Source organism: Homo sapiens, chromosome 2 (assembly GCF_000001405.40).
Source record: "Homo sapiens chromosome 2, GRCh38.p14 Primary Assembly".
Lineage (NCBI taxonomy): Eukaryota > Metazoa > Chordata > Mammalia > Primates > Hominidae > Homo > Homo sapiens.
In genome coordinates this window covers 71,440,050-71,453,079 of record NC_000002.12, presented here as the reverse complement: position 1 = coordinate 71,453,079, position 13,030 = coordinate 71,440,050, and the positions used below count along the sequence as shown (strand labels likewise).

General features: G+C 42.2%; 2 annotated features.

Moving 5' to 3' along the window:
• Positions 1,972-2,158: a silencer, noted in NCBI's record as "fragment chr2:71678052-71678238 (GRCh37/hg19 assembly coordinates)". NCBI's record gives its function as "represses an EF-1alpha promoter that drives an FKBP-Casp9 reporter gene in an ReSE screen in K562 erythroleukemia cells {active_cell/tissue: K562}" and the evidence as "EXISTENCE:reporter gene assay evidence [ECO:0000049][PMID:32094911]".
• Positions 7,350-7,851: an enhancer, noted in NCBI's record as "H3K27ac hESC enhancer chr2:71672359-71672860 (GRCh37/hg19 assembly coordinates)". NCBI's record gives its function as "activates a minimal SCP1, AML or CMV promoter by ChIP-STARR-seq in primed H9 embryonic stem cells {active_cell/tissue: H9 hESC(primed)}" and the evidence as "EXISTENCE:reporter gene assay evidence [ECO:0000049][PMID:30033119]".

Here is a 13,030-nt window from a genome sequence, read left to right as displayed (position 1 = left end):
AATTGTCTGTCATATGAATGTACTAGATTCACAAACTTTCTCTTGTTTCACATTTAGGCTCTCCCCAGATTCTACTATAATAGTGAGAAAGGGAGTTTCTTTTTAATAAAAAAGATATAAACTCATCTTAGCCCTCCCCCTCCCCCCACCCAGTTCTTCAGATTAGATTGTAAGGTCACAGGATATGACTTTTTTTTAGGTTCTAGTACCTATTGCTAAACTGCCTTCCTGCAGATAGATCCACACTCCCGGCAGCCTGTTGACTCACCCTCTAAAGAGGGCCAGTTGGATGGGTGTGCAGCTGTCAGCAAAACTCCCACAGCAGCCCCTGGGGGCAGTAGACACACCCAGGGCAGGATGGGCTGGCCGCTGACAGGTGGCTGATTTTTTTCCCCATAGGGAGATACTAGAAGAGAGCAACACTCCCCAAAAAAAGGTCTGTAATTTCAAGATTAGGGTAGCAAACATTTCCTGTGGTCACTTAGGGTCCTTCTGTAGTGGTCTATGCCTTCTTTTCTTTGCCTTTAGCACAACGTATGGTGGGGGGTGGGGAGAGGAAGAGGAAGAGGAAGGGGGGAGCTGAAATGCAATCATTCATTTAATGGGAGTGTGTCAAGTCCTAAAATAAGTCAGGCACTGTCCTGGGTGGGGACACAGTGGTGGGCACAAGTGACACAGTCTGTGTTATGGGCTGAATTAGGTCCTCTCGAAATTTCTATGTGAAAGGCAACTTCCAGTACCTTGGAATGTGATTCTACTTAGAGATAGCACCTTTAAAGAGGTGAACAAGTTAAAGTGAGGTCATTAGGGTCATCCAATCTGACCAGTGCCCTTATAAAAAGAGGAAATTTAGATACAGACAAACCAGGGATGCATGCACGCAGAGAAAAGGCCATGTGAAGGGCACAGGGAAAAGGCGGCCATCTGCAAGCCAAGAAGAGAGGCCTCAGAAGAAACCAAGCCTGCTGACTACACCTTGATCTTGGACTTCCAGCCTCCAGAAGTGTGAGAAATAAATTTTTGTTATTTAAGCCCCCCAGTCTGCAGTATTTTGCTATGACAGCCCTAGCAAACAAGTAGAGTCCCTAACCTCAAAGAGCTTCCACTTCAGTGAGGGAAACTGACACTTATGGAATAATCACGTCAGTCACATACCATTACAAATATGTAAGTGCCATAAAAGACAGAAAATGTGGGAGTGTGAGAACAGAGAGCAGGGAGTCCTCATCGCGTGCCCAGGACAGTAAGAGCTATTTGAGATGAGATCTGAAGGTCAGCTAGGAGTTCACTGGGCAGGACTGAGGTGGGGGCAAGGAAGAGAGTATTCCAGAGAGAAAGAAGGAAGCGCTCTGTCAAGGCCATGGGAGGAGAGGAGTGTAGATTAAGGGGTTGTGGAATGGGGCAGGCAGGCTGGAGGGCACCATGCAGGGCCTGGGGGAAGCTGCCTGAGGCCTGCTAAGTCCAGAGGAGTGGCAGGATCTGATTTACTTCTCAAAAGCTCCCTTGGGCTGCCTTTGGAGAATACAGTGCAAGGGATCAGAGTGGAAGTGAAGAGTTAAAAGCTACAGCAGAGGGTCAGAGTGAGAGTTGATGGTGACTTGGACCAAGGTTGTGAAAAGGGGGATGGCGCAAAGTAAGGCAAAGCTAGGAGGAAGAAAGGAAATTCTGCAAGAGCAGATGAAGCAATCAAGTTTCCCATTACAGAACTTGGCCATTATGTGTTGCTGGAGAAAACAGTTTTGGCTCGGATGTAGCAACTGATTGATTGACTCAGTCATTCATTCATTTACCAACATTTATTGGTACCTTGTCTGTGGCAAGCATTTTTCAGATTCAAATTTTACAGAAAGATAGCAAGGAGGGAGTAAAATTTAATTGCTTTGGGAAGAAGGGCAGGAGGCCCTGTTGATGTAGGGAAAGCCCAAATTATGGTCTATTTTTAAAGAAGTACAGTTTGGCTCTATTCAGATGTATAAAGTAACATGAACCTGCTCTGTGGCAGAGCTAAAATTGGACCTAAGAAGCAGCTAGCTGCTTGCAAATATGGTGTGGCTACAGTGATTTGAAAAGAGCCAGTTTGGCTGGGTGCAGTGGCTCACGCCTGTAATCCCAGCACTTTGGGAGGCCGAGACGGGTGGATCACAAGGTCAGGAGATCGAGACCATCCTGGCTAACATGGTGAAACCCCATGGTGGCGGGCGCCTGTAGTCCCAGCTACTCGGGAGGCTGAGCCAGGAGAATGGTGTGAACCTGGGAGGTGGAGCTTGCAGTGAGCCAAGATCATGCCACTGCACTCCAGCCTGGGCGACAGAGCAAGACTCCATCTCAGGAAAAAAAAAAAAAAAAAAGAAAAGAGCCAGTTTTCTGTATAGGTTAAACACCTTCCTCACAACTTCACTACTTTATTCATACAGAAGGCTGTCTTCAAACTTTTTCTGCACAGCCCAGTCTGTGCAGAAATAAACCTCTAGTGAGCATGTCTGCCCCCAAATTGTAGGACATGTTTGGGGTATCTTCTCTATTTAAAAGAATCACTTTCTCTGAGACTACCCAACCTGAATCAATCACATTCTCTCTCCCAAAAACGTGGAATTGGGACTGAGAGAAGCTAGCTTCTGTGTGGCTGGAGCTGAGATGAATAAAATGGGAGGCTCAGAAGGGGCCCCGCACATGAAGTGGAGAAAGTTTCGCAGTCAGAGAAAAAGAGATCACGTGTAGGGGGTGAGGTGGGGAAAACAAGATCCAGAAAGAGACCCTTCTGGTTGTTGTTCCTGGCTCTCATTCCTTGAGTCTCCCTGCCTGTGAGTGCTGAGATAGTCCTTGTGGTGGATATTTGCCATTTTTGGCTTCCAGCTTTTAATCTCCCTCTTCCTAAAACATCCTTTTCCCACCCCTCTTGGTGGGCAGAAGTGCCTGCCTTTTTTCTGGAAGCTTTAGAGATAGGGCCTCCCACTCTGTGTCACTGGGCAGTGTGGCCTAGGCTCAGACAGTTGGATGCTCTCTCCCAAGACTTGAAACAAGTTCTTGAGCTTCAGGAAGTCAGACATGGCAGCTGCCGTGTGACAGCAAATGACCAGGTAGGGCGCCTGCTGTGCGAGTCCTGTCCATAACCAAAGCCAAGTTCTCCAACCTCCCTCCATTCTGTTAGCCCCCAAAGCTCTTCTGAAATCCTCTCTTGCTTCAGATATCCAGGCTTGGCTGCTGTAGCTAGCAGCCAGGGATCCAGACCAACATGCCCAGTGTCTTTATAGTGAGTCGCTGCACATTTTACTTAGGTTAACTTGAAATGCAATTCTTTTTATTTTTAATTTTTTTAGAGACAGTCTCCCTCTGTCACCCAGGCTGGAGTGCGGTGGCAAAATAGCTCACTGCAACATCCAACTCCTGAGCATGAAGCACAGTTCTGTTTCTTGCTATAAAAGAACAAGTTCTTGTGGCCCTGATGACACTTTGATCTTGAATTTCTGGCCTCCAAAACTGTGAGAATAAATTTGTTGTTTTTAAGCCACCATGGTTGTGACAATTGGTTAGAGCAGCCACAGGAAACGAGTACACCAAGGCTTTGTCAACACAACCAACCACTGTTAAAGAGGGGTGGTTTTCAGGCCACTTTTACTACTTTACTGTTTCAGGACAGAAACGAAAGGGAGGGAGGTGGCTCTCCAATTTCACTGAGAAACTAAGGGACAAGTTTGATACTATTTTCCAACAGAAAATAGAAAAACAACAACAACAGGTTTTTCGCCAAAGAGGTAATGTGAACACACTACATTATTTCTATGTTCTCTGTCTTCTGTAAAAACCACAGATCTTTGCAAAGCTTGCTAAGGACCATAGACCCTGGTAACAGCCTGGTCATTTCATCTGCTTCCCCTAAGAAGAAAAACTAATGGTAGTGTCAGAGAGTTTCAATTTCCCAAGAATCTACCATAATAAACAGTAAACACTCAATAAATAGAAACTATTTTTTGTTCAGGCATGGCTGCTGATACAATGGAAAGGAGTGAGCTCAGCATGAAGGTGCAGGGGCTTCTGAAAGCCCTCACTCCTCTTGAGCAGGGAGTGAAGAGCGGCCTATCTGCTGAGCTGCAAGAGCGCAGCTCTGGGACTAATGTGAACAGGTCAGTCTGTGTGCACAGTCCTCCTTTTGGATTTAGTCCAGAGGGTGAGGAGTCTCTAGACAGCACGAAGGAAAGCCTCCACACACAGCGATTGTTAGAAGAGCCACTCTTTCTTCTTGAGCTGGACATTCATCTCCTGCTCTCGGACATCACAGCTGAGCTCCTGGTGGGCCCCCCCCACCTCCATTCCCAACGTGTGGTCTTTTCTGATTCTCCAATATGAAGATGGCATATTGTAGGACTTCTTGGCTTCCATAATAGCATGAGTCAAATCTCGTAACAGATATTTATTTACTGTTTCTACTCCATTTTACTCTCTCTCTACACACACACCTCCTATTGGTTGTTTCTCTGGAGAACCCTGAGTAATACACACATAGAAGGCCTCTGAGAAGTGAGGGAGATCCAAACCAGGGTGATAAGAGTGAGGAACAGAACAGGAGTTCGACTTCTTTCCAAAGTGGGGTTATCTCATCTTCTGGAAGAGGCCACAACATCCCAGGATGCAGCAATCCTAGCAAATGTGAGGAAACCTGTTATAGGCCCCAGCAGTGAGAAGAGTCAGGTGCTGCTGATGGCTGGTTCCCGAGTAGGGTGCAAAATGAAGGCACAGGCAGAGCTGATGCAGGCAAAAGGAGCAGGTTTGGGTGTCCCTATTGCATGTCTCAGGGCAGAGAGGGGCCAGAAAGCTTTCTGAAGCTCATACACCAAAGGACTCCTGTTGATTCATGGGAAGATATCACCAGAAAAGGCCTAAAGAACATCTTTAGGAGTTAAGAGGGCAACAAATGTCTCACTTTGTTTCCCCCTTGGCTGATGGCCAGGACTTTGGAAAAGGGGCACCAAGAGAAGTGAATATTTGACTTATGTGTTTTGCTGTTGTTGTTGTTTTTTTACAGAGACAGTGTTTTGCCACGTTGCCCAGGCTGGTCTTGAACTCCTGGGTTCAAGCAATCCTGCCTCAGCCTCTCAAGTGCTGGGATTACAGATGTGAGCCACTGTGACTGGCCTAGTGTTTCTTAAAGTACTATCAATCTAAACATCTCCTGCATCAGAATCTTCTTGTAAAAAATGGAGACATCTGGGTCCCCCTCCACTCCCAGACCTACTCAATCAAAATCTCTGGGAATGGCCCAGGAATCTGGCTTTTAAAAGTTCTCTTATTTTTATGCAGACCAAAAACCAGGAACCACTGACTTAGGTTGTGTCAAAGAACAGACTTTGGCTCTTTGGATCATAACCTAAAATGCCAGATTAATACACTCTTGAATTTGGATGGAGTACATTTCACAATGATTGAGAAGACTGTCTGAAAACTGGCTTTAAGTGAAAAAAGGGGGACTCGGGAGGCAGGGGGAAGACAGTGGGAAAGATAATATTCAGCTAAGAACTGTAAGACCAGTAGGACAAGACAAGAACAATGACAGTAGTGTAAAAGGATGACGCTAGAGTCAGACTACCTGGATTCACATCTTAGCTTTCTTTACCTACTAGCCGTATGGCCTTGGGCAAGTGATCTTACCTTCGCGGCTTGGTTTCTTTATCTGTAATATGAGAACTATAGAAATACCTGCCTCATAAAAGAAATGCTTTACATACATTATGGTGCTAAATATTAGCTAATATTACTATTATTGGAATGTGTGACTAGTATTTCATAGGATTAAAACTTTAGAAATGAAGCCACAAATAATGTTTATGATCTCTGATATCTATAAAATGTTGGAATCATTTGAGGTTTGAACAACAGAGGTATTGAAATGGTGAAAGATACTTCTTGTTCAAAGAAGAGTTACTACCAGGGAGAAGAGAGTTCTGCAGATCAAGAAGACATATGCCTGCATGGAAATCCTTACCAAGACTCATGCAAGATAGGCTCTAGTTGAGGATGAAAGGAGAGATAATCTGAAGAGTATGATCAATGGAGGTGCATGGGCAAGCCGAGGTGGTGAGAGACTTCCACTCTCTGGACACTTGGGGAAGTTACATTAGCTCAAAGATATGCATCTGGTAATGTCGACTTATTTTAGGGACAATTCCATCTCTAAGAAGATGAATTGAGAGAAGGGATCTCTTAGAACCTAATCCTGACCAACAAGGAAGAACTTGTTGGAGAAGCAGATGCAGCAGGAAACCTGGGGATAATCATCTTTGGGATGAATGCTGCCAGAGCCATGTAAAGTTTTCAAGGCTCAAATCCTGCCACTTTGGTGGGGCTCTGTCTTTCCACAACATGCCCTATTAACCAGGCTCCCCAGAACTCAGGGAACCCACTTAATTCCTTGACATTAGCAAATCCCTGGCCTTCCTAAGAGCTTTCTTTTTATAGGGCCAGCTGAGGAACACTTCTTGAGGTTCTTCATTATTCCACTTGAGAAAAACAGAACTGAGCTTTATAAAGGTCCTGCTGAGACTACCGGATAAAGCAGGGTACAGTCTTTCATACTCAGCCAGTCGTTCACAGTAGCCGTGCTCCTTTGCCCAATCATTACCCAGTCGTCTGATCCAGAAATCAGATCCTACTGACATCCCTGACATTTAAGAATACCTTCCCCTCCAGTGTGATCCCCTTCAAGCCTATAGCCTAGGCTCTGAGGTCAATCTTTACCCATATTCAACCCTCCTCAGTAGTTTTAGGGTGGGTACTTGTCAGAGCATCCTGAGTTTGTGTCATCCAGCATATAATGGAGGGGAACGAGATTAAAAACAACAATCACCACACAAGGCTGCTGTAGTCTCCACTTCTGTAGCTGGTGGCAAGGCCTATGTCGGGAATCTGAGTTAAATCTTTCCACTTATGTTTCTCTCACCCTCTGCCAGCATGAAGGCTAGGCAGACTGGAGTCCTTGGTGGGATTATCTTTACTGGATTGTCAGTTTTCCATTGACCAGGACTATAGGGCAGGAGAGACCTAAGGGGCGCTCCCATGAATTTCCTGGGTTCTGAACAGTTCTTCTTGTCCCCACTGTGTAGCAGCAATTCAATTTCCCCCTGGTAAACAGATCATTCCCATTAGGCACAGTGATCCTTTTCCTATTGGTTTATTGGCATGAGGAACTCCGAAAGGTGAGAGGGCAGTCTCAGCTCCCAGTTCATTAGAGTCACGTTCTTATTTCCTGGTATATGAATTCCTCTCTTGAGCACTTGGGCTTCCAAAATACTGAGGCCAAGATCACAGAGATGGGAACTAAAATCCTACAAGTGGGTCAGTAGGTCTAATAGGGAGAGGGGGCACTCTCACCTCTACTTCTTGGTTCCTAAACCCTTAAGTTCTAGCCATGGGAGAGCTAGCACCACATTGTTGGCCTCTGTTTTAAGGCACATAAAGTTTCCATAGGATAACAGCTACATTTCTTAGGATGCTGTATCGGGGGAACCCGCCTCCAATATTTCAACGTAGGTTCTATTTTCCCTAAGTGTTAGCCAGCTGAGAAATAAAAGAGTACAAAGAGAGGAATTTTACAGCTGGGCCTCTGGGGGTGACATCACATATCGGTAGGACCATGATGCCCCCTGAGCCGCAAAACCAGCAAGTTTTTATTAGGGATTTCAAAACGGGAAGGGGTGTACAAACAGGGATTAGGTCACAAAGATCACATGCTTCAAAGGGCAAAAAAGGAGACCAAAGTTCACATGCTTCTGAGGCCAATAAAGATCACAAGGCAAAGGGCAAGGCAAAGATCACAAGACAAGGGCAAAATTAGAATTACTGATGAGGGTCTATGTTGGGCTGTGCATGTATTGTCTTGATAAACATCTTAAACAACAGCAAACAGGGTTCGAGAGCAGAGAACCGGTCTGACCTCAAATTCACCAGGGCGGGATTTTTTCCCCCACCCTAATAAGCCTGAGGGTACTGCAGGAGACCAGGGCGTATTTCAGTCCTTTTCTCAACTGCATCAGACAGACACTCCCAGAGCGGCCGTTTATACACCTCCCCCCCAAGGAATGCAATTTTTTTCCTAGGGTCTTGATATTTAGTATTCCTTGCTAGGAGAAGAATTTAGCGATCTCTCTCCTACTTGCACACGCATTTACAGGCTCTCTGCAAGAAGAAAAATACGGCTCTATTCTGCCCAACCCCACAGGCAGTCAGCAGACCTTATGGTTGTCTTCCCTTGTTCCTTAAAATCGCTGTTATTGTTTGTTTTCAAGGTGCATTGATTTCATATTGTTCAAACACCCATGTTTTACAATCAGATTTCATATTGCTCAAACACACGTTCTACAATCAATTTGTACAATAGTGGTCCTGAGGTGACATACATTCTCAGCTTACGAAGGTAACAGGATTAGGAGAGTAAAGACAGGCATAGGAAATTATAAGACTATTATTTGGTAACTGATAAATGTCCATGAGATCTTCACAATTTATGTTCAGAGACTGTAGTAAAGACAGGTTTAAGAAATTATAAAAGTATTAATTTTGGGAACTGATAAATGTCCATGAAATCTTCACAATTTATGTTCCTCTGCTGTGGCTCCAGCTGGTTCCTCGGTTCAGGGTCCCTGACTTCCCGCAACAACGCTGTCTCCAACTTGTGCCATAACCAGTCTTTAGCAGGTCATGCCACCTAAAAAGCCAGCTGCTTCTGGGTGATGGACCGTATGGTAAAATTTGTCAAGTCTGCACGCATGGGCCCATTGCCCACATGCCCATTTACCAAAAAAATGCATCTCCTTGTTAAAATGAAGTTGGATGGTATTCCATGGTGATGGAGAAGTCCATCCATAAAATCTACAGTGTGCCATCAGAAGCCCTGAGTTCAGGGAAGGCAAATCCATATCCATAATATATCCCGTGAGGACAAAGCATTGTACCCTCCATGACAAGAGACTGAATATAGTCAACCTGTTACCAGGTAGGTGGTAGAAGAATGTGTCTACCAGAGGCTCCTCACCCTTACCTGCTCTGTGATTCCAAGAGATAAGGGACTCCTTCAAAGCTACCATGGAGGCCTTCTGGTTCTCCATGCCTGTCTTAATTGTATGCTCTTAACTTTTATTTCTCCTATTCCCAAAATATGCTCAAGAGGGCTATAAGAAACAGGTGGCCTCAGTTTTAATAATCATTATTGTTGTCATACTGACTTAAGTGCCTCAGACACTTCATCTCTCAAGGCCTTGTCCTCTACCTGCACTTCATTCCATGATGCCATTGGCAATAATCTGAATAACTGTGATGACACTGCATATCACAGATTACTATGTCCCACTCACCCCTGGCAAAGAGGTTATCGATGCACTCCTTGAATATATGACCAACCCAATCCCAGAATCCAATTATTTTAACTTTTTCTTTTGAAATAATTATAGATTCATAGCAGGTTGCAAAGAAGTATACAGGGAAGCCCTATGCTTCCTATCTCCATCCTCTCCCAAGACTAAGATCTTAAACAACTATAGTACAATATCCAAATCAACAGATAGCATTGGTACAATTCACAAAACTTCTTTAGATTTCACCAGTTACACATGCACTAATTTTCATGTATATGGCTCTATGTAATTTTGTCATGTGCAGCTTTGCATAATCACTACCATCATCAAGATACTTCACTATCACAAGATTCCTTACTAGTACCTTTTTATGATCCTCTCATTCCAAATACCTGGCATTAAGTAATCTGTTCATCTTTGTTATTTAATGAATGATACATAAATGAAATCATGTGGCATGTATCCTTTTGATATGAGCTTTTTTCACTCAACATAATTTGAGGGTCAAGTTGTTGCATGTTATCAATACTGGCCAATAGCTTTCCTTAAAAACAAACAAACAAAACCTGTTAGATAGTATTTCATGGTATGGATGTACCCACAGTTTGCTTAACCATTCACACATTGAAGGGTATGTGGATAGTTTCCAGTTTGAAACTACTATGAATAAAGCTGCTATGAACACTTACGTAAACATTCTTGTATACATCCTATGTGAAAATAAGTCTCTATTTCTATGGGATAAATGTTCAAGTGTGTAAGTGCTTGGTCATGTGGTTACTTGCCAGACTGGCTGCACCATTTTACAATCTCATCAGCATTGTATGAGTGATCTAGTTTCAACTTCATCCTTTTCAGCACTTGGTGTTATCACTATTTTTCACGTTAGCCATCCTTATAGATGTGTAGTGTTATCGCATTGTGGTTTTAATTTACATCTAACAGCTACTGATATTGGACATTTTTTTCAGGTGTTGTTTATCTGTATATCCTCTTTAGTGAAATATCTTTTGCTGATTTTCTAATTGGATCATTTTTAAACGTTAATTTTTGAGACTTCTTTATGTATTCTAGATAAAAGCCTTTGTTGGATTTGTGATTTGCAAATATTTCCTATTAGTCTATAATTTTTCACAGAACAAAAATCTTGATGAAATCAGATTTATCCGTTTTTCCTCTTATAAATTGTGCTTTTGATGTCAAGTCTAAGTACTCTTTGCCCAATCTTAGGCCCTGAAGAATTTCTCTTATTTTCTGTAAGTTTTATAGTGTTATGTTTTACCTTTAAACCTAAGGTCCCTTCAGTTTTTATAATTTTAAATATATAATTTTGAGTTTTTTAGTTTTAATATAAGGTGTGAGGTTTAGATCAAGGTACATTTTCGGCTGATGGATGTCTAATCGCTCCAGCACAATTTACTGAAAAGGCTCTCCTCATCTGCTGAATTGCTTTTGCTTCTGTGTAAATAACTAGGTGATTTGTGTAGATTTATTTCCAGGTTTTCTATGCTATTCCATCAATGTATGTTTCCTTCTCTCTGCCAATACAGCACGCTCTTGATTACAGGACCTATGTAGTATAAGCATTTGCATCAGAAAGGGATTCCTTCAGTTTTATTCTTCTTTTTCAAAACTGTTTTAGCTATTTGCATAATCTTTCCTTTTCCATATAAACTTTAGAATAAGATTGTCTGTTCCTACAAAAAATTTTGATTGGTTTGGTAGAAATTGCCTTAAATCAATAGAACAACTTAGGGAGAACTAACATCGATATTATGTTGAGTCTTCCAATCCATGAACATGATAAATTACCTTATTTAGGTTTCCTTTAATTTCTTTCATCAGTCTTTTATAATTTTCATCATATAGATCCTACAAATGTTTTGGTACATTTATACCTAAGTAATTTTCTTTGGTGTAAATGTAAATGTACTTCATTTGTTATTTTGGTTTCTACTTGTTTGCTGTCAGTACACAGAAAACATAAATGACTGTTGTCTGTTGATCTTGTGTCCTTCAACCTTACTCATTGATTCTAAAAGTTTTATTACACATTCCTTGAAGTTTTCTGGGTAGACAGTCATGTATCTGCAAATAGAGATAGTTTCATTAAATTTCTCATCTATATGCCTTTTCTTTTTCTTGCCTAGAATTGCAGTGGCTGGAAAACTGCAGTAGTAAGTTTGTTGCCTAACGATGGCAGGAATGAACATCCTTTCATTGTTCCTAATCTTAGAGGGAACACAGACTTTAAACGTTAAGTACGATGCCAGATTTTTTTTCTGTAGATCCTTTTTATAAAACTGAGGAAGTTCCTTCTTTATGATCTACTGAGAATATTGATGTGTTGATTTTTATATCAAATGCCTTTTCTAAATGAATTGATACACTCATGTTTTTCTTCTTTAGCCTATTGATAGTTTATTAAATGGACTTTCCAGTATTGAACCAGCCCTGCATGCCTGAAATAAGTTCCTCATAAAATGTAATTCCAGCTACTCGGGAGGCTGAGGCAGGAGAATCGCTTGAACCCAGGAGGCAGAGGTTGCAGTGAGCTGAGATTGTGCACTCCAGCCTAGGTGACAGAGTGAGACTCTGTCTCCAAAAAAAAAAAAAAAAAAAAAAAAAGAGTTGAGAAGTGTTCCCTCTTCTATTTTCTTTGGAAGAGGTTGCACAAAATCAATTCTTCTTTTGAATGTTTAGCAAAATTCTCCAGTGAAACCATCAGGACTTGGAGGTATCTTTTTCAAGGATGTTTTCATTACAAGTTCAGCATCTTTAATGGTTTCAGAATTACTCAAGTTCTCTATTTCATCTTGGCCAAGTTCTTTTTTTTGTTTTGTTTTGTTTTTTTTTTTTTTGAGACGGAGTCTCGCTCTGTCGCCCAGGCCGGACTGCGGACTGCAGTGGCGCAATCTCGGCTCACTGCAAGCTCCGCTTCCCGGGTTCACGCCATTCTCCTGCCTCAGCCTCCCGAGTAGCTGGGACTACAGGCGCCCGCCACTGCGCCCGGCTAATTTTTTGTATTTTTAGTAGAGACGGGGTTTCACCTTGTTAGCCAGGATGGTCTCGATCTCCTGACCTCATGATCCACCCGCCTCGGCCTCCCAAAGTGCTGGGATTACAGGCGTGAGCCATCGCGCCCGGCCTCATCTTGGCCAAGTTTTAGTGCTTTCTGATTTTTGAGGAATTTGTCCATTTCTTCCTAGTTATACTTGAGTAGAGTTGTTCACAGTACTCCTTTACTATTGTTCTCATGGCTGCAGGATCTGTTGTGATATTTTCCATTTCATTCATATTAGTGGTTTGGGTATTTTTTTAGTCAATCTTGTTGGAGATTTATCAATTTTATTGTTTTTGAAGGACCAGCTTTTTGTTTCACTAATTTTTCTCTATTGTTTTCCTGTTTACAATTTCATTAATTTCTGCTCTATTATTTCCTTGCTTCTGTTTGCTTTGGATTTAGTTTGTTCTAACTTTTCTAGTATCTTGAGGCAGAAACTTAGATTACTGATTTGAGATCTTTCTTTATATAAGCACTTAGTGCTACATATTTCCCTCCCAGCATTTCATTAGATGCATCTCAGAATTCAATTTGTTGTTTTCATTTTCATTCAATTCTATGTATTTTTGAAATTTCCTGAGAAATCAAGAAAGTAATTCCATTTACAATAGCTACAAAATAAAAT